At 37.7% G+C, this 22,487-nt stretch overlaps 1 protein-coding gene across 11 annotated transcripts in view; it reads right to left on the minus strand.

The window, feature by feature from the left end:
- ZNF521 (zinc finger protein 521) overlaps window positions 1–22,487 on the minus strand; it is a 290,243-nt gene that overhangs the window by 251,636 nt on the left and 16,120 nt on the right. For 7 of the 11 annotated variants that reach the window (XM_017025697.3, NM_001308225.2, XM_011525909.4 and 4 more), the window contains one exon: window positions 8,449–8,628. Coding sequence is in view for 3 of the 11 variants with exons in the window: in XM_011525909.4 (XP_011524211.1) it covers window positions 8,449–8,628 (180 nt within the window). In the remaining 8 variants the exon portion in view is untranslated. Of the gene's footprint in view, window positions 1–8,448; window positions 8,629–10,677; window positions 10,731–13,846; window positions 13,890–22,487 lie in introns of all 11 variants that reach the window. The other 4 variants (XM_047437473.1, XM_024451141.2, XM_017025698.3 and 1 more) reach the window with 2 other exon arrangements.

A 22,487-nucleotide genomic window follows, 5' to 3' on the forward strand; every position in this document is an offset into this window, starting at 1 on the left:
CACTGATAACAACCTCATGGGAAAGAATAACATACATTCTCTCTGGAGGTTTTGTGAAGTATTTTTTTCAGTTTTAACAGCCATTAAAATGAATTACCAAAATAACATAAAATTATTTTTAAACCCTGTTTATTTCATCTTTACCTAATTTTTTAATTTCTGTTTTTGTGAATGTTGTATAATGCATGTATGTATGTAATGTATTAGTAAATACATATTATGACAGTGCATTTAGAAATCACTAGTCTAAAAGTAAAATGCATATAGAGATGGGCTGGAGAATGGAATCTATGGAGGCCATGAAACTGCATTTTGGGGGCTTAGGGAGATTTGGAGAATGAAGTAGGCTAAAAAAAGACATACTTTAGGTACAAAATGAGGAACTGATCAAAATGGAAGGAAACAGGAAAATAAAACTTATAGTGCCTTAAGCCTAATTAATATAGAAACATAAATTAATAACACTTAAATGATTAATAACAAAGTATGAATAATGAATTAATATAGAAATTAATATAGAAATATGCAAATAAAACTTATAATGCCTTAAGCCTAATTAATATGAACTAAAAAGTTGAAATATCACATTTATTTCATGTAATTTATTTCAACTAATGGTTTGATAAGGAAAACAGCAAAAAAAAAGGTTCTAAGCAGTTTCAATCTGCTTTTATGAAAACGATGCTTCATTCTGTAAACTACTCATCTCCCTTATTCCCACTGCCAACAGAACTAGCTGTTAGAGCACTTTATTGTTCATTGGAATGAACCAGTCTTTAATTTGCCACAACCATATGACACATGTATACTCACTTTCACATTTAAAAAAATTCTTTGGCCAAATAATAAGGATATTCCAGATGTCTAAAAGTTTTCAGCTTACAAAAATTGTATGAAGCTTCCAGGAAGTTTCATAAGATTTAAAACAAAATTAAATGGACATACTACTTTACACTGACGAACAACATCCACTCATCAATTCAGTTCATTTTCCTAAAAAATGTGAACAGGAAGAATATTTGTAAAGAAGCTACAACCCTGGGTAGGGCTTTATATATCTGGTCTACAAATGTTCCCCAAAGCTACAGCAGAATTACTACCACACATATTTCTACACACTCATCTACCAATAGTATGGTAGACCAGAGGGTTAAGAACTAACACAATGCTATTTAGTTTTTTCTGCGATTATGCCCAGGCAATTCACATTAATGATGTGAAAGAACACTTAACAGACAACTCAAGTTTGCAAATTAGCAGGAGAGAAGAGAAAAATGACTCAGAACAACAAGCATAGAGTATTACCAAATGCACTTTATACATTTATCCTGTTAAGTGTAGCTTAGTTTTGATGATTTACAATACTAGTTCTTACTCAGTTTTGTAAGCATAACAAAGTCTCTGTAATCTCAGCCTTCCCCATAGCACCCTGCTATTAAATCTTTGTTGAGCAGTGTGATGAGACCCCTCTGGCTTCCAGCCCTCCCCACCCCCTGAGGGAATTGGCAAGAAATGATAGGGTTTGTGGATTAGTAAAATGAGAGGTTCTCTGTGCTTTTCCTTCTTTAAATATATATTTTGATAATCTGTCTTCTGCATCAGAGAGTCCCAACAGCATTAGAGTGTTGATTCCCCTGCCTTCTTAGCCTCCAGGAAAAAGACAGCAAGGCTGGGGCAAGACAGGTGGTTTCCATCTATTGCTAAAATTGAAGAGAGGGACTTAATTTTTTCTTTCACCTTTCCCCCTATTCCTTCAAGCAGGGATGATACATAACTTACTTATACATGTTGGACTGTAGACTCCAGGAAAATTGCACCATGAGACAAAGGAGAGAGAACTCATCTGTGAGTGTCACCACGTCCTTTGCTATCTTCAGGGACTGTTCTGTTCTTTCTTAGAACAAGGATGCTTGTCCAGAAAAATATGCAAATACTAGAATATCCTCTCAGTGACAGACTCCATGAGGTGTGTGTGAGCTCGCATTTTCTTTATCCCTGCAGGATCCACTGTCTAAAATTTCAGTCCACGTGGACAGCTAATCATTATTTTACCTGGCACATAATCTTATAGCTGACTTTCAAATCTGGGTCTAGAATTGATCATCTTGTTCTTCTGTATTTGACCTTCATCTCCAAAGGCTTCGTTTGGCCTTGGCTCAGTTTCAAGACTTTTGATACGGAGTGAATAGGTTTTCATCAAGGCAGGCTCTCCAAGGAATGTGCGTCACCCTTGGGGATGAAAGTCACCAAAGGAACAGATCTTAAGTTACCAAGAAAACCCTCAGTTAAAAGAAGGGAAGAACCTAAGACAGGGTTTCTATGGCTCTCTCATAACAGAACTACCCTGAGTAACCCACATAGGCATCAGCACATAGAATATATCCCTTTTCTGTTATTTTGCAAATCAACAAGTTGTAAGATAGCTTTCACTTCTAATCATACTCTATAATTAACCCTCTAGCACACTGCTCAGGATTCCCTCTTTCTTTACACAGATTGTTCATCAAAAAGTCTTCAGGCAATGGTCTAGCTGGTATAGGGCCAAACATGTCAGTAACGACTTCAAGATTAATAGAAGGGAATCCACAAGCAACAAAGAATAAATTGAGAAAGCAGCAAGATAAGACCATGGAACGGGCAGGGAGAAAGGAAAGGGGAAAATATGGACAGGGAAATTAAGAATCTTGGAGAAAGGACCGGAATGAGAGGAAAATCAGCAAAGATGCAAATGGGGCTGAATGAAATTAAAAGGTAAAACGAATTTAAAAAAAAAAAAAAAAGGAAAGAAAAAAGTAATAAAACCAAGAGGCAAAAAAAAAATGTATATATAAAAATACCTTCCTTTGCTAAATCCAGCACTTTGTCAGCCAGGGGTGGGGGGTGGGGGGTGGGGAAGCAGCAAGAAGAGAATTCAAGCAGTGGGAAGCCAACACTGGAACTGTCAGACCTCCCAACTTACACTAAAAGGCTTTAACCAAGCAAGAAAGCAAAAGCATCATATTACTTTTTTAATTAAAATGCTTCCAAGTGTCTTTAATCTTTTCCAGATCAGACTGGAGGGCAACCTTCAGGCAACTCAAGCTACACCATTAACACCTTCAACAAACATGGATCGTTCCTGATTTCATTTCTCCCTTTTTTTCGCTTCCTCCTTGGCCTCCACTTACACTTTGCCTCCCGAATCTACCACCTTCCCAAAGAAATAATCCTGAACAACAATAAACAGGAAAACAAGACCCATCAGATAACTCTCTCTGGACATGTGCTTCAACAAGTGGCAAGTAAGACTTTTTTTTTTTTTTTTTTTTTTTTGAGACAGAGTTTCACTCTTGTCGCCTAGGCTAGAGAGCAATGACACGATATCAGCTCACTGCAACCTCCGCCTCCTGGGTTCAAGCGATTCTCCTGCCTCAGCCTCCAAAGTAGCTGTGACTACAGGCGTGCGCCACTATGCCCTGCTAACTTTTTTGTATTTTTAGTAGAGACGGGGTTTCACCATTTTGGCCAGGCTAGTCTCAAATTCCTGACCTCAGGTGATCTGCCCACCTCAACCTCCCAAAGTGCTGGGATTACAGACATGAGCCACGACGCCCGGCCTCTACTTTTCTACCTTTGACTAACCTGCTGTAGTATGTGACCACAGAACAGATTCCCTACTTTCAGAAAGCTTCAGACCAAAATAAACCAAACATTTTACCAGTTTTTTAAAAAATGTAACTCATAATCTTTGCCATACCATGTGTGGAAAATTCAGCACTTCCTGCACAGGTATTATTAAAGTTGTATGAGACAGGAATAATGCCTTTTGCTTCGATTCAATTTTATAGAGCTGAACATAAGAATAACTATAGGGCACGCACTCAGTAAAAATTAACCACTTACCAAGCAGAATTTGAAGGTTGTTTTCTAAATTATATGAATTTTAAAATAACTTGTAACATGAGAGAGGACCCACTCTTACCAAAGCCATGATTTCTTGCTAGATGAATATACACTGTCATGTCAGTCCAGTGGGAACGCTGAAGTTCCCATGTCTTTATCCTAATGTTAGTGCTGATTCTACGTGAGCAAAGCTTTGTTTAAAGCACCAGTTATTCTACTGAAAATGGCATCTTACTAATCATCTGCATTTAATGGGATTTTCCCAAAATGATATGTTCTAGGAAAAATACACCTTAAATGAAGTCAATTAAATATATATGAGCTAGAAAATCCACAAAAAATACCAATAAATGCCCAACAGAATGTCAAAATTAAAGACGGATAATATAAATGTTAGCAAGTACGTACGACAACCAGAATTCTCATCTACTGCTGGTGGGAGTTTTTGAAAAAGGGTTTGGAAGTTTCTAATAGAGATTAAACATATCATATCTCATGCCCTTCACCCAATGACCCAGCAATTCTATTCCTAACGAGAGAAATAAAACATATGTCCACAAAAAGATCCATATAGAAGGTTGACTATTATGAACTTTATTCATAATACTCAAAAACTAAAAATAAAGTATCCACTAACAAGAGAATGTAAAACAAATAATGATATGTTCATATAATGGAATACTACACAGCAATAAAAAACACACTACTTATATACACAACAATATGAATGGATCTCATAGACATTATGCTGAACAAAAGAAGCTGGACACACAAAAAAAGGGTGCACGCCGTACAATTTCATTTACAAGAAGTTCTAGAATAGGTAAAATGAATCTATGGTTAAAACAGCTCAAAAACTGGTTACTTCTAGTGGAGCATTATTGATCAGAAAGAAGCATGAGGGAACTTTCTGGGATGAAAGAAATTATATCTTAAGAAGGGCGTGTCACATAGGTGTATTTATTTTGCCAAAATTCACCAAATTATATACTTATAATTTATGAATTTCACTGTATGTAAATGTGGCACTAAAAATTACAGCATTAACAATTATAAACAAATATTAAACTCAGTTTGCCTATCATGGTGGTATCAGCAAGCAATTTTGAAACTACTTACTGTATATTCTAGGCTCAGGCAAATGAGTAAACATATTAATAAGGATAATGGAAGCCAGGTTTCTCTCTGTTACAGAAGGCAGCAGAAATACACCAAGGAAAAAGACTAGGATGTACCTGAGGTACTGAATTGAATGGGAGGTATCAATATGAACATATGGTTTTTATTGGATAGAGAAAAATACACATATGTGCATATACTTGTATATGTGTGAATTTTATGAGCCATATTATGAGTGTATTATATATTATAGTAAGTATGCATGTACATTTCCTACTTCTGTCTACTGAAGTCCATAAGTAATGGTACACCTATAGCATTGAGCATACATAGTATCCATATCTTGGTTTCTAAATACCTTTGTCCTCATAAAGAACCAGGAGAAAAAAAAGAAAAAAAAAAAAGAAAAGAAAAGAAAAATTGCTGGCTGATTGCAGGACTAGGACAAGAAAAGACCATGATGATTCTGGAGCATCTATTTGCATCAGAAACTAAAGTTCTCAAATAATGATGGAGGCATATTAAACACATACAGGATCCTGTTTGAAGGGACTCCCATTGGCTAGATCTATGGCAATCTGGGTATCAATACAATGAGAGTAATGAATTATGACCCACTGAATAAAATAAAAACCCAAGAGATGACAGTAACATGAATATACAAATAAACAAATGAATAAGAAAGAATATAACAGTAGGCTAACAAATAGATAAATTATGAACTTGCAATAGACATAAAAACAGTGAGCATGGCTGAGTGTGGTGGCTCATGCCTATAATCCCAACACTTTGGGAGGCCGAGGCAGGCGCATCACTTGAGGCCAGGAGTTCAAGACCAGCCTGGTCAACATGGCAAAACCCTGTCTCTACTAAAAAGTACAAAAAGTTAGCTGGGCATGGTGGTATGCACCTGCAGTCCCAGCTACTTGGGAGGCTAAGGCAGGAGAATCGCTTGAACCCAGGAGGCAGAGGTTGCAGTGAGCAGAGATCACGCCACTGCACTCCAGCCTGGGCAACAGAGCAAGACTCCATCACAAAAAAAAAAAAAAGAAAGAAACAGTGGGTAAACATTTTATGAATATGTAGATATTTATATAGTATCAAAGTTATCTTCCCACAAATTATTAACCATATACAAAGAGAAAATGGTAACTTTATAATGGAAACTGTTGGCAGATACCACCTTAAACAAACATTCATCGTTAACAACATCAACATGGTAACAAACTAACATCATGTACTTCCTGATCTGATGCACTGAGAAGGGTGCAATATCACTTCTTTGGTGATTCAGGCTTCTTTGGAGCCTGAATACTACAGGAGCCTATGAAACCTGAATTTAATCCTTGGGAAACATCAGACAAACCCAAATTGATGGGTATTTTGTAAACTAACTGGTAGCTTCTCTTCAAAAATGTCATGGTCAGGAAAGACAGAGGCTGAGAGAACATTCCAGGTTAAAGGAGGTAAAAGAGATGACAGTTAAATGTTATGCATGATCCTGAATCGTGGATGAGGGGAAAAAATAGCTACCAAAGACATTATTAAGACAACTGCTGAAATTTAAATATGGATTGTGAATTAGATAGTAGTATCTATTTGTGTTAAAGGTTAACTTTCTTTTTTTTTGAGACAGAGTTTCGTTCTTGTTGCCCAGGCTGGACTGCAATGGCGTGATCTCAGCTCACTGCAACCTCTGCCTCCCGGGTTCAAGCAATTCTCCTGCCTTAGCCTCCTGAGTAGCTGGGATTACAGGCACGTGCCACCACGCACGGCTAATTTTTATTTTTAGTAGAGACGGGGTTTCACCATGTTGATCAGGCTGGTCTTGAACTCCTGACCTCAGATGATCCACCTGCCTCGGCCTCCCAAAGTGCTAGGATTACAGGTGTGAGCCACCGCGCCTGGCCTAAAGGCTAACTTTCTCAGTTTCAGTAAGTATACTATAGATATGTAAGAGAATAGATTTGTTCTTCAGAAATACAAAGGATATATGTATAGAGGTGTGATGATGTCTCCAACTTTCTCTCAAATGATTAAGAAAGAGATGCTATAGGAGAGGGAAGAAGAGAATAATAAAGTAAATGGAGAAAAATGTAAGCAACTGATGAATCAGGTAAATGATATGGAAGTTCCTTATATTATTTTTTCAAGTTTTCTGTATGTTTGGAATTGTATCAAAATAAAAGTTGCTCCCTAGAAGCATATATAAACTGTAAAATATATATGTATGGCCAATATTTATATAAGCAACATCAATTCTCAAACTTCAGTTCCAGAAAATGTTTATGGGTTTTCTGAAAGGAAGATGATTCTGGGGCCTAATAAACTTGTTCACTGTAATCCCTCTTTGAAGAGAAGAGCCACAAGGCACTTTTAATAAAGAAGCCTATTTAATGGATTTAATCCAACATTCCACAATAATCCATTCAGAAAACCTTGTTAAAATAGAACACACTTTAAAATCTTATAAAAATATGAATATGCTGTGGAAAACAGTCAGAGAACCACTTGTCCAGTAAACACATTTCCCATACTCGCTTAATGGAAGAAAGATTTGTGTTGGGAAAATAAGAGGCAGAGAAAGAGAGACACACACATACACACACATAGGAGTGGCATCAGCTTCAAACAGAAAGAGCAGAATGATGTGTATCTTACAGAGTTCTATCTAAAATGCCCTACCCAGGCTCAGAGATGCATTCTTGTAGGATATATTTTAAGTGGGGTAGATATTTGGTAAACTGAGTCCCAGTTTTATTTAGCCATTACATCAAACATGCTATGCAACATGTTACTTTAAATCTGACTCTTCCAAGGAACTGCATAGCAGAATAACTTGCCAGCCTTAATGAGTACCTACTATAGGCCAGGTATTGTGCTAGGCTTAGATAATGCGAGAATGAATAAGACACAGTTTCAGCCATCCATGAGCTTTCAGTCTAACGAGTGAGATGGAAAAATGAACATACCCAGTGAGAACTGTGGTGCTCAAGGATAAGTATTGAACTTTATGGGAACACAAAAAAATGTGGCTAACTCAGGCAGAGGGAGATCAGAAAAGGTTTCCTTCAGGAAGTGTTATCTAAGCTAACATGTTCATTTCTCATGCTGTCTTTGAAAAGGTATTCAAAGGATTTTTAAAATATATTAGTCATCCAATATTCATGTTCTGCTCCTAAATGGCATCATGTAAAAAAAAGCAAAAAGGAAAATACACTCATTAGCTATTGACATTTAGGTGCATTTCAAAATCTAAGAGGGCTGTGACACTGAGGTTACCCCAAACAACCATCTCAGAATTCTTTCAAAAGCACCTCTAGACTTAGCTAGGTATTCAAATGTAGGAATAAAATAATTTGAAGAGAAAAACACATAAAGGAACAAACTGAAAAAATCAGAAATAGAACAGTACAAGAAGACAAAAAAGTGATAAGTATTGTTTACCTGTCAGTTGACATTGATTAATCTTGTGTTCTGTGATATCGCTCAGCGATTCAAACACCTGGAGGCAGCTGTCACAGCTGTGCACAGCTTCGTCTTCCAACTCCTCCCCGTCTTCCGGCCTCTTCTTACAATCTAGTGCCTCTCCATCTTCAGTCTTGTCTTCAAGTTTACAGTTGGGGTCTGAAAAATATCAACACTGTAAGTATGGGGTTTAAAGACAGGTTCTTTTAAAGTAACATTTAATCTTCTTGCTACCAAAAACAGAAACACCATTTTCCTTGAAGTTGCAATAGGAGGGCTTCATTGCAGATTTTATTACAGGAGAATCAAAAGTGAGCCTCTCCTAAAATTATTCAGTTAGTGACTATCAAAGGCCTTCTTCCCTTTCCCCACCATGTAGCCCTTTTCCTCTCTCTCCCATCAAATCACTCACCCACTCTTAAGACTGACTTTACCATTTTTTTCATAGCCTTTTAGTTTTCGCTTAAAAGAGATAAATCACTTTTAAAATTAAACAGTCTCCAATGCAAAAAAAAAAAAAAAAAACCCCCCCACTGTGCTTAAGAATGAACTCTTTTTCTGCTAAATATACTCTTTCACGGGAAATTACCAGAATTAGCCAAAAGTCTAGAATAAGCTAAGCCAATTACCATAGGCACAAAATTGACCTTTACTTATAAACTGGTCAAAACACACAGCTACTCCATTATTTGTTAGACAGTGATAGCAAAATAAGCTGTATCACATGGCAAAACATTCTTACAAATGCAAACTCAAGTGTAAATGTATGTCTCTTGTTTTCAAAATTATCCAAAAAAGTGAAATAAGATATATGAAAAACAATTATAAATAATAATGAAGTCAACAACTTGAGTTGGCATTACCAATGTTGAAAAGCTAAATGTTGTGAAAACTAAAAATAGTTCCATTTTCACCCTAAAAATGATACACAAACAGCAGGGAGAGATGTGGGGGTGCGGGGAGAGAAAAGCACGTGGAATGCTTTTACTTAGAGCTCAATAAACGCTTTTTGATTAGTTACGCTGTCCTTTGAGTCATTTCCTCCCAAAGAGGGAGGAAGAAAGGAACTGTGTGGGGAGGGGGCTGAAGAGTATCTCTTTGGGGGAAATTAAGATAATGGGATAATACAATCAGTGACTGAATTTATGGGTCACTGATTTCCAGTAGCAAAAACTCCTCCAAAGTCATAAATAAACTATATCTCAAAATACGGTAAAATTAAACTAGAGATTTCTATTTTCTATAAGGCCTTGACTAGTCAATGAAATGGTTACAAAATAACTGTATCAAGATACCTAAGAAATACGTAAGGCATTATCTGTAGCCACATTTTTATATGACTACAATATTACTTTTAATGGCTACAATAAATATGATAATTTAAATACAAATATATTCAATGTTTTTAATTTTGCTTTTTAGAGATGGGTCTTACTAGGCAGCCCAAGCAGAAGTGCAGTGGCTATTCATAGGCACTATCATAGCTCACTGCAGCCTCCAACTCCTGGCCTCAAGCAATCCTCCTGCCTCAGCCTCCCAAGTAGTTGGGACCACAGGCACACACTGCCATGCCCAGCTATTTAACACTTTAGATATTTCATTAAATGTTACAATCAAGAATCCACAGAATCAAAAATAACCAAGTATTTCTCAAAAAAGTCCATGAACGCCACACCAATATCCTGCTCTCTGAGATTGTTTTCTGCTATGTTGCACATAGCACGTTTCTATGAATGCTTCTTCTACAAGTCACTTATACTCCTTTCTTGTCTGGCAGTTGTTCTAGAGCTTTCCTTCACATCTTCAATAAACAACTATATCACCACCCTTCCAACGATTCACATATGCCAAAATCAACTTATATCACCATGTATCTGACAATCTCTTGGGTTCTTAAAAAAAAAAAAGCAAAATTCCCATCTCAAAGAGCACGTAGTTTTGTTTGTTGGGTTTTTTCAAAATTAACACACTGTTTAAGTACATTGGTAATTTGGGCTGATTTGCCATCTGGAAAATTATTATCTCAACATTCTACACAGTGCCCATTTCGGTATACCAGGATTTAGACTGCTCATTCCTGGGGGAGTAATCACAGGGATTTTGCATTTGTCTTGTACTCTGCCAAGCAGAGTTCTATGTCCAGGTGAGTGTTTAGTAAATATTATTTAGTGATGGTGAGAAACGGAAGGAGAAAAAAATAGAGACTACCTTTAAAAGTCCTTTACCAGTATTTTTTCTGTAAACAGGAACAGACCAGTTACCTGTAAAGTAAAAAGCACCAGCATGCCTACATTTTCCAAAGCTGATACTACAGGACCCACCACATTTGGGTTTGCTTCTCTCAAATATTTCATCTGGGGCAACAGATGCAAAAAAAAAAAAAAATGGCAATGATTCAAAGATCTCCAACAAACTAAAACCAAGTGATGAAACACTGCCAAACTAGACAGCAATTCAGGAAAATAAATAACAGTCCCAACTATGGCAAATTGACCCCCACACCATTAAAACACTTATTGGAAGGCAGTATGCACTCATGAATACTCTTGGTTGTTTAGCATGAGTTTCTAGTTTCTCAAAAAAACTGATAACACTCAGGGAAATGTCGCTGTTAGGTCTGATTTTTAATATGATTATTTAAATGCTACACATCCAGTTTGCAGACCTGTTTGTTTTTAAATAAGGAGACTCTGTGAATACTTTAAGTACTATACAGAGAAAAATGATAAAAACTCACTTTCCTTATTATTCAAGAATATGGACACTTTCCATGAATCCAATATCAAAAATACAAACATAGAAGAATGCATGATGGCTTCGCTCTCAAAAGCTGAAGAACCGACCCCAGTCCATGCTTCCAACACTGTGGCTAGTTATTAAAATGAGGGTCATTTTAAGACTAATAAAAAATAGTTTTGCTTCCACTTCTGCAATTGCAGATAGAACCCTTCAGGGACTGAAGTCAGTCAAGCTTATTCACTTCTGCTGCAACTTTAGGATGCATGCTCCAGCCAACTGGCGAATTTGTTTTTAGGTCAACACTTAAGAGGGACCCTCTGGGAAGCGGGTTCGATTATAGCCTATGATGCCTTGGTGTAATGAGTACTGGAATCTCAGTCTCTCTCCTTGTAAGATTTTTCCAGCCTCTACTTTCATGAAAAACTCTTTTTTGCCCATTCAAAAGATGTGTTTATTTGTGCTAGGGGTTTGCATCCCTAATGCCAGTTGATGTAGGAAGATTCTAGAAAGCTTACACTGTCAACCATTTCTTTCCCACAGGTGGCTACACTTCAATAATTGCACATGGACTTAGTGATGTAGTTTTTATAAAGTCCTTTGAGATCCAATCATAAAAAATAATTGTATTACTCTGCTAGCCATTCAAACCTCTGACTTCAACCTAAGGGGTTATAAATACAAGGTCCATGCCTGTAAGTACTGCCCTGCCCCCAGCACCACTGCAGGAAGGATCATTGTTCTTCCAACTCCATTGTTGTGCTATAAATCCACGCAAAGGGTGATATTTTAAAATATCCCCAAACTCTCTACACTGCAACTACAAACTGTGTCATAGCTGCAGGCACCACTCTCTCTCCCCCTACCCTAAATGATGCTGCGCAAACATGTTGCATTCAGCACAAATGATCTCACCTCCTCAACCAACTTTCCACCTCATCCTCTGAAAAGGGTGCTGTGGGACACTGGATTTATACCGTTCTGATTGGATAAAATGCTGAATTTTGGAACACACGCACAATTATTATTACAAAAGTAAGTGGCAGCTTTCTGTTTCCAATTTTGTTAACATTACTTATAAATAGGAATGTAAAAGAAGCATTCTTTTCCCTGATTGTGTTCTCTGGCAGGTGGTTCTTTTCTTCGTCTCATCCTCCTGTTCATAAGAATTGTTATTGCTATAACTTGCTTTAATAAAATTACAACTGTGGGGAAAATGAAAAATTGCACTGGCTTAAAAGTGTTGGAGGCAATAAACCCATGGACTTCAATTAATTTCAAGTGTGGGATCAGTTTAAGGCCAACCAGCAGAAATTCTATTCTGTCCATGTAAAAATGAGGTTTCACCACATTTACTTTTTATAACCTATATAAAAGTCAAGTAAAAGTAATGAATATCTAAAAGCCATCTCAGTGGACTGGCAAAGACTATCTGTATTCTTGAAACTCATCTTACATATTTCTCTCTGTGCAACAAGGATCCCATGCCTGATCAAAGCTAAAATGTCAAACTACTGAGAAAACAGCCCAATTTCCAATCCATTTCACTGCCTCAAAATGGACCTCCTTCCAAGCCACTTTTGCATGGAAAAGCACTGGCAAAAGAAAGAAAAACTAAGAGATCATGTGGTTATAATTATTACCAGGCAAGGAATATTTCTGCAGCTCAGTGGTAAAGTAAAACTCTGTCGCTCTCTGCTCCCAATAGTGTCCATCGCAAAACAACTGCCTCATTAAATCTCTGCAGTAAGATTAATATGCCGTAGCTGCACTACATTTATAACTTGGTACTCTATAAAAAGCACATTTAATGGTAAGAGCCAGAGCCTAGATACAAAGTATTACTATAAAAACTTCTGGCAGCAAGTACACAGTGCAGGCCCTCTGTCCCTCTTGCTGGAGATATAAATGAGGTTTTTCCTGGTTAATTCCAAGCATGAAGCTCTACCTTAAAAACCAGAGTCAGTTTTTATGAGAGTGGCAGAAACACAAGATTCTGAGGATGATGTAAATATGAATGCAAGAAGATTACTTAACAACTAAGACTGGCAAGAGATGAATGAACCCAAAATACTCCACTTATATACTCACGCAAACTTAAAACTGGACCACTTCCTAACAGTTTGTTCTCTGATCATAGCCAGCTTGTCACCAAATTAAACAGCCATGGCATGAATTACTCAATCTTAAGTCAACCCACACAGTGCCCAGTGAGTTCAAGAAACTACCAACTAAAAAATACATACTGTCTGAAAAAAACAAGTCTTAGCTTCACTGTGATGACCATGACCTCCAGGATCTCAGTAGCCTAAAACTGTCACAAAAAAAAATTAAAGAAAAAGTGGCCCCAACACTACACTGCTAGTGAACTAGTAAAAATAGAGGGTTTTTGAGACTTTAGAAAGCTGCCCGAGTTCTTTCTTTCAAGGATATTGTCTGAAATTAAAAAGGCATTATAACCCATGTCACATATCCAGGAATTCCATGCTAAATAAGTAAACAAATAATTCAAAGTAATGCATTCCACACCAAAATCTCCCCAAATCACTGCAAATGATGCATCTCAGGTTAACAACCATCTTGTACTAAACGTAATTAACTGTCTAATGATGTTGTATTTAAAGTTCATATGTGTACTCACAACTAGCCTTCTAGGTTTCGTGACATATTTAGAAGTCCCACACCTAAAAAGAAAATCAGAGAGTATCTGTTTAAAATAAACCATATCTGAAAGCACTCCTCCCCTACAAGTATGTTCAAATCCTAATCCCTGATTTATGTTTATACTTTTTAAGAACAGAGAAAAAGTTACCTTCAGGCTACAAAGAGTTAACAAGAAGTAGAAAGCCTTCCTGGTTTGCAAAAACCAAAGGGCGGGATCATTATTTTGTGCTTTCTGGGCTCTAGATATGCATTCTAACTTGAAATCCCATAAGACGAAAACAGATTTAGGGGAAATAAATCGCACACTGTTATAAAATGGCAAGCAGACTCTAATGAAGGAAGGCAGCATTGCCAGACTGTGCAGCCGTCTGTCCCGCACTCGCCTGCTGGTCTGCTGCCTCATTTTTTTTATTACTGTCAACTAAAGGTAAACAAACAAACACAACACAAACAAACAAAAAAAGCAATCGATGGGGTGGCTAAGGGCTGAGCATCCCCGGAACCACATCGGCCTCAACTTAGCAGGATTATGATGGGCATCCCAGGCAGACACCTGGCTGGGCACCAACCAGTCCAAAGAGCTCTGTGGTCACGGATAAGAATGTGCTCCTTTTACCTCTTTCTGCAATGTTTATTTTCTAACCACTCTATTCTCTGAAAGTTGTTAAATTGTTTTACAGAAGAAGAAAAGGAACCTGTAATCTATTTGTTCCTTCCTTTGTCTATAAAATCTTCTCAGACAGAAAGAATGATCTCTGTGTTAAACAAAATCGCACTGTTGAAGTTTAGACTTTCTGTGGTTTTGCTTGATTGTTCTACAGGTCTATCACGGTCCTTGAAGACCAAAGAGAAATATCACAGATGTACTGTTATCAAGGAGAACATGCCAATTGTGAATTTATTACCACTATCTACAGTGAAATTCCTTGAAGGAGGACGCTGAATGGGAGGAAATTAGCCTTAGGGGAGGTTAAACACACACACACACACACACACACACACACACACACACACACACACGCATTCACTTTCACACTTTGCAACAAAAGTTTCTTCTCTTCCAATCAGAAAGATATACCCAAGTTTCTTTCTTCCATTATTCCTCCTTTATCTTATTTTTTTATTAATTTTTTTTTTTTTTTGAGACGGAGTCTCGCTCTTTGGCTCAGGCCGGAGTGCAGTGGCGTGATCTTGGCTCACTGCAACCTCCGCCTCCCGGGTTCAAGCGATTCTCCTGCCTCAGCCTCCTGAGTAGCTGGGATTACAGGCACGTGCCACCATGCCTGGCTAATTTTTTGTATTTTTAGTAGAGACCAGGTTTCACCATGTTAGCCAGGATGGTCTCGATCTTCTGACCTTGTGATCCACCAGCCTCAGCCTCCCAAAGTGCTGGGATTACAGGCGTGAGCCATCGCGCTGGCCTATTCCCCCTTTATCTTTAACATGAAATTTGGTAAAAGAAAGACACAATGGAAGAAAGCAACTTCAGTACTCCAACTTTAATACAAAGAGTAGTTTGTAACTAACTATGTTAGTAGTAGTTACTAACATATTCCTACCTTAAAGTCATTTAACTTCACAATGAATTTCTATGGCTGCCTTGTCACAACTTCAGTAAGCAAACATTTCTTGAGCACCTATGTGGTTAACAGCCAGTTGATCAAGGCCCTGGAGATACAACGTCTAAATTCCTGTCCCAAGAAGTTTGCAATTTGCTGCCGCTTCCCAACTGGTGGGTCAAAAGCAAGTTCAAGTGTTTTGGGATACTGATCCTCAAGGTGACCAGGCACAGCTTGGGGTGACTGGAAACTGCAAGTCTGTCTTCCCTGGCCTTGAGTGGTTTTGTCCATTTACCCAAGTTTGCCATTTGAAACTTATCACTTTTCTGCATATGTTATTTCATGACAAGGCCTGACTGGCACAAGGAGAGAAAGAGAAGAGTAAGTCAACGACTACAGCAAGAGGGATAAGTACTCAGATGGAGGGGCATCTAAATCGGGGCAGGGAAATTTTATCCCAAGAAGAGCAAGTTGGGCTACATTTTGAAGGCCACATAACACTGGGAACAAGAACACAGCTCTCTAGGAAATAGAAACAAAGGTAAGGCCACAGATACGTAAAACAACATGATGACTTCAAAGAAATGCAAGTACCTGTGTTGCTATTCAAAATGGGGGCGAGGGAGGGATAGACCAGACAGACAGTAAGGCAGCGGCAGAGAGCAGGCTGGAAAAGCGGCTAGAGCACGAAGGAACTCCTGTGAGTGTAATGTCCAGATGTTAACCTCACTGCTATGAGAAATCACTGATGGATTTTAAGTAGGGGAGTGAATGATCTGATTGACATTTTACAAAGATGCTCCACTGGTAACTGAGAGGATGGCATGGACAAAGATCAGACCTGGAAGCAAAGAGACCAATCCAGAGGCTACAGGGTAAACCAGGAAGTAAGTAGAAAGTGAAAACTAAGTCAACGGCAGAAAGGAAATAATGGTTCTGGGAGCCACTATGGAAACAGGATCTGGATGGATGGTGAAGAGAGGAAAGTGGAGAGCTGTCTCAGTGTTTGCCAGGCACCATGCTTGGTGGAGCCATTCCTAGACAGGAGCATGCTTTTCTCACTATCTTCACATCCAGGTTTTTTCTTTTACCCATATTCTCACTTACCTAAATAGTGACAAAGAAGTGCCAAAGCTGGAGAAAAACTGGGCAGAAAAATCACACCACCTAACTTTTTTCTTTTTCTTTTTTTTTTGAGACAGAGTCTCACTCTGTCGCCAGGCTGGAGTGCAGTGGTGCAATCTCAGTTCACTGCAACTTCTGCCTCCCAGGTTCAAACGATTCTCCTGCCTCAGCCTCTCAAGTAGCTGGGACTACAGGCCCGTGCCACCATGCCCAGCTAATTTTTATATTTTTTTAGTAGAGACAGGGTTTCACCATGTTGGCCAGGATGGTCTCGATCTCTTGACCTCATGATCCACCCGCCTCAGCTGCCCAAAGTGCTGGGATTACAGGCGTGAGCCACCATGCCCAGCCACCAGCTAACTTTTTAACCTAGTACCAGAGGTTTCCAGGGGCCCCAAAGACACTTCTCAGGACTTCAAGGATCTTTGGTAAGACTCCTTTAACTTTAGCTTTATTTTAAGCACACACAATGCCAAAGAAGAATAAGTATAAAATTAAACTGAAAACCAAAAGAGACATTGATTCTAATATCTCTTTCTTATTTCTTCTTTAAATATATCATTAACCATTAGTTTAAGTAAGTTAACACGATTTTACTTGGAGTTCATGATTCTTTTCATCAGACAAAGTCAAAACACCAGACTACTACTTTTAATAACATAAAACCCCAATAAATTTAAAATACTTGTTTTAAAAGGTGCACACAGCCTTCTCCTAAAAGAAAATATGGTAAGGAACCACAAAGAATGCGACAGAGCAGCAGGGGAAAGAGATGACACAAGGGTGAAATGGGTACACAAACTCAAAATCACCTACGCTAATAAAGAAAGAAAAAAGTACCCTGCTGAAGCTTTTTCTAGATGAAGGGCTTAAAGTAAAATACCCAGAGTCTTTTTGTAACCGTGTTGTTTTTATTTTGTTTTGCTTTGGCATGAGCCTTTCTTCTTGCCAGATTTGAAATGCCTCACTCTTCCAACTACCCTGATGCCTTCAGATTCAACAATGACACATTTGAATCTCATATAGTCTCTAACTTCCTGCAAAAAGAAACAAAACCAGCTTCTGTAGTTCCATGCTCAATCTTAAACCGAGCCTCAAGGACTCCCTTCTTCCATTTTACATAAGAAAGATACTACACACAAATATTTTTAATATCCAGCTAATCAAGCACTAATTTCTCGATAGTAAAGCAACTTTAAAACTGCTAAAAAAAAAAATCCACTCTGGAGGAAAACAAATTATTTGAAAACATTTCTGTGTAGTCTTTAGTACATAATGACCAGGTATACTGAAAACTGCTTCTCAGACAAGACAGCTACAATAAGAAATAAAACCAATTTTTGAACCTAGGATTTAGACATTTGGACATTTGCGAAAGAATCTGGCTCCTCTTTACTAAATAAGTCTATGTAGTCTTAGTAGCACAGTTAGAAAGCATTAGTTTCCCCAAGCAAAGAAAAATCTGCGGCTAAATGCCTTTGTATTAACGATATCATACTAATACTTACACCAACTGTTTGTATTTTTTCAGCCATTTTAGACAGTGCCAGTCAAATTGCAACATTTCTGAATTGGACACCTAAAGTTAACTATCTCAACAATTGCTGAGGCATTAGCTTGGGGGGAAAGTGTTTTGTTTGAATCAGGAAACACTGGCTTGCTGCAATGTAGCAATACTCACTTTCACATTTTGAGAAGGTAAACCCCAACCTCATTCACAAAAATCAATACAATATTATCATTCAATTCTCTTTACTAGTGACTTTGGACTTGCTTTTTTCTTTTTTTTTTTTTTTAAATTTAGGAAATTCCTCTCCTTAACTGCAATCATATATTTGAAAGACAAGAACAATTGGATTTGTCTAAAGTTTGCCAAAATTAATCGAAACATTTTGGGCATTTAATATTCCACTAAACAGATTTATTTCACCCAGGAACATGAAAAAATGTTGGGTTTTTTCTTTCTTTTTCCCCTTCAGCAGCTCCAAATGGCTGTCAAACTGGGAATCAAACTGCCATTAAAAAGAAAAATAATTTGAAAACAAATGAAAACAGATTTTTTTCTTTTCTAAGTGGAAAAGTCTACATTTGTAAGAAATGATCCCACTTAGGAAGATAAGAAAGCATTTTCAAAACAACTGCCTTGGTAACATGATGACTCAGGAAAAGAGAAATTTTAAAAAAAGAAAAATCCTATAACATAAGGCACAAATTTGTATAATGAAAGATCACAGCAAAAAAAAAAAAAAAGAGGCTGTGATTTATACCTTATGAGCTATTATAAACTACAAGAAAATTTATGTATAATTGAAAAAAAGGAATTCATTGTGTCTTCCCCTAGTTGGTCTAATAAATTTTAAAATACATACAACCCTAAATGTCGAAGGTTCCTTCATCCTGATAAACAAAACAAGAAAAGCCACACAACCAAAAATAAACTATAAAAATAGATCATTATTGATTTAGTTCCATTTCTGTAACACTTTCCTTAAGGAATCTGAAACAAAGATAATATAAGAGCATCATTTGTTTTAAATTTTTTAACTGCACTTTTCATTTCCTAGGACACAAAATAATTCCTTAGGTGTCCATATGAGTCTAATGTTTTTCTTTAGTTTTAATACAATCTCTCCAAAAGCCAGGTTTTAAAAATGTACTTTTTCCTACAGAATGACCACCTCACCAAATGTGCATTCAATCTGCATGTATCTGCAGACAAGTAATAAAGACACGAGTGCCATTAGCATAATCAATACACAATTTACAGAGCTACCCAGATAGAACTAAAAGTGAACGTGTACGCCATTATCATAGTAACTGTAAATTAATAGTTGTTCGTGGAAATGTGTTCCCACTTATATTGTCTCAATCTCGACTTGTCAGGATAATGTGACCACATATTATATATTTGTATAGTATTTATGTATATAATGTAGCATATACATATACAAATCTATACATATGTATATATACATATATACTAGAGTAGTATATATTTTATCGTATAATGCTATATGTAAACATATTTTCAAATGATTATTTCCAGATAATCTCCAAATATGCATAAAGTAATATCAACGAAATCAATCACACATAGGAGGAAATGGCTGATAAATAAACACCTATATTTATTTGTTTTGCTTTTTTACTATGTAGTTTAATAAGCATGTGGTTTAATAAGGACACACTCTCTCTCTCTCTCTATATATATATATATATATACACACATATATATATGTAAATATATACGCGGAGGGAGCATATTCTCAGAGGGTGGGCAGAAGGGCCAGGGCTCATCTTACTTTTAAAAGAGAATAATAAGGAAAATAATCTGGTCAATTCCGCTGTTGCTGTTTGTATTTTTTTAAAATCCAACACATTTGAAACCTTACATTTAGCCAACACCACCCAAAAAAAAAGTACATCCTGTCTCTGAAATACCATCTCTAGGATGTCAGAATTGGAGTAATTTTTTTCAGAAACAGTGACAGGTCATGCCCAATTGCCTCCACAGAAGGTATCAATGCCACACCAGTCCTTGGGACAACCTATCCCTGCAATGGGTATGTCCATCTTTCACAGCCATGAAGAAAAACTGTATCAAATGTAATATATTTCGAACAAAAGAAAACAGGGATAATTTCAGGATGGTAAAGTGCCTTAATCTGCCAGTGGGAAATATGAATTTGTTTCTCCTCTATCTGCTTCATGGTGTGTTTAATACAGGCAGTGTGGTATTACCAGGGGCTAGTCAGCCCAAAGCCAGGTGCACTGCTATAGTCTTTGCAGGCACAACCATCACTCACTTCTTCCCAGAAGTCAAGCTGGTGGGCTCCACCCAAGCAAATCTCTTGACCTTTGAGTAACAGCACGGAGAAGAAAGACCTTTGAAAGTCTACTCAACCTCTACAAGGCAGTAGTTCCAAGATTTCACCAGCAATGAAGAAAACACTCCAGCACCCCCTTGCCACCACCACTAAAATATCTCCCAGATCAGCTTCCAGAGGCATTCAATTTTTTTTAATCAGAAGACAAAGCCTTTAATTATACAATTACAGATTTGTCAGGATTCCACTGCTTTTAATGCTACCATATTTTTCTTGGAGAAGTAACTTTCTCTTAGAGGCAGAAGAGTAGAAAAGGAGAGGGAACTCAGATCTAAATGCCTGAAGTCAAAAGGAACATCAGAGGAGAGATCTGGTGGCCAGTGGATTAATTATTTCTACATCTTGATTTGGTTTATGACGAGTCTTGGCTTCTTCATTTGAAAAGTATGGGATGAAAGATGCCCACTTTCAAGTTCTTTTTCTGCTTCAGCCATACTAACTGGATGGGCCCAGTGTATGTGACTCAGTTTTCTCACCTATAAAATGAGAGCAATGATAACTGACAAAGGATACATTTAAAGCCAAAGGAAGACACAGTGTCTTTTGAAACGTTAAACAGGTGCCCACACATAAGGTATTTGTCAAAAATAGTGAACTCAACTCTCCTCCAGCTCCATTACCCACCTTTTATTGTAGATAATGGTTACTAAGAGTTGAATATAAAAGTTCACACAATTCCTCTTAGGCTTTCTCCAGAAGGGGAAATATTTTCTTCTCTACACAAAAAGGCAAAGCAGCCGCAATACTGAGTGCCACCCCTAGAGACTTTGCAAACGAGGTAAACATAAAGAGGATAAAACATGCAGGCCTCCCCAGCTTCCCAGAGAACTTCATCCAGAATAGAAAGCTATTACCAGTTAGTGATTTGCTAAGAGCCAGACATCCATTAAGCACCTTATGTTTGTTTGTTAATATGACAGTCCTGCAAGGTCTATTCCTAACATTTTACTGGTAAGAAAACTGAGGTTTAGTAAGGTTCAATAACATGTAGCTTGTTAATAGTGTGCAGGATTCAAACACAGGTCCACCAGGCAGCGGGTCCCTTGTGTCTACTCATTGTGACATGCCGATTGTGCACACAGGACCAAAGCACTGAGACATTCCACTGCTCAGACTAGAATAAGGAAGGTGATGCTCTCAGAGCAGTGAGCCTGTAATTTTTGCTTTCAGAAAAAGTCTGAGAGGGTTGGAAAAGTCACTTTTCCTCCCATCACCTAAAATGTGTATAGCCATGAAAGGTAGTTCCTAGAATTATAAATCAAGAGACTGAGACTCCTCCCTAGTCTGTCACAAAGTCATGGTGTGACCTGGAATACGTAACTTAAGGTCTTTGGGTCTTGGAGACAGCAAGTGGGTCATCTCTAGGGTCTTCCCTGCTCTAAACTCTCATGATCTGTATCCTCTCCTGTCCTCAAAACACTCTGTACCTCGCCTAACCAGATGTCCATCCCCAGCCCTGGCTGACCTTTCGGGAAACTAAACTAGCACCCGCACCCAATACCCTTTTAAAAGTGTTTTCCAGAATATCTATATTAAGCGATCCCAAAGTGAAATTTCCTTTGTCACTTTCTATCATTTAAAGATATTCCACTCATTAAAAGTGGCCTCGCTCAATCCTCTTGGCTCTCCCCACTCTGATTTTCATTACTAATTCTCTCACTTCATTTAGCATTAAGGTTGAAGAAAAAAGTATAAATGGCTATTTGAAAGTCATCTGATTGGATATATTAAGGTTTTAGACTTTGTCGGTATAGAAAGACAACTTTATGACAGTTTACATTTAGTTAAAGTTAAAAGAAAAGATAGTGTCTACGAAGAGTATCACCGGACAAGTGAATGCCAAGGTCAACCAGCGAGCGCGGACAGAGGCTGGGCTTCTAAAGCCCAAAGGGCCAGCAGAGTCAAGCAATCTGGAAGTGGGGCCTGGGTGATTTCACAAACTGAAGAGAGAAAGACTTGAGATTGAACAAGCAAGGGAAGTTAAGGGGAAATTAAAACAACCTGAACAGTTAGGATTTACTGCAGAAAGAATAAAGAAGAAACCAAG

The sequence above is a fragment of the Homo sapiens genome, chromosome 18 (genome assembly GCF_000001405.40).
Source record: "Homo sapiens chromosome 18, GRCh38.p14 Primary Assembly".
Lineage (NCBI taxonomy): Eukaryota > Metazoa > Chordata > Mammalia > Primates > Hominidae > Homo > Homo sapiens.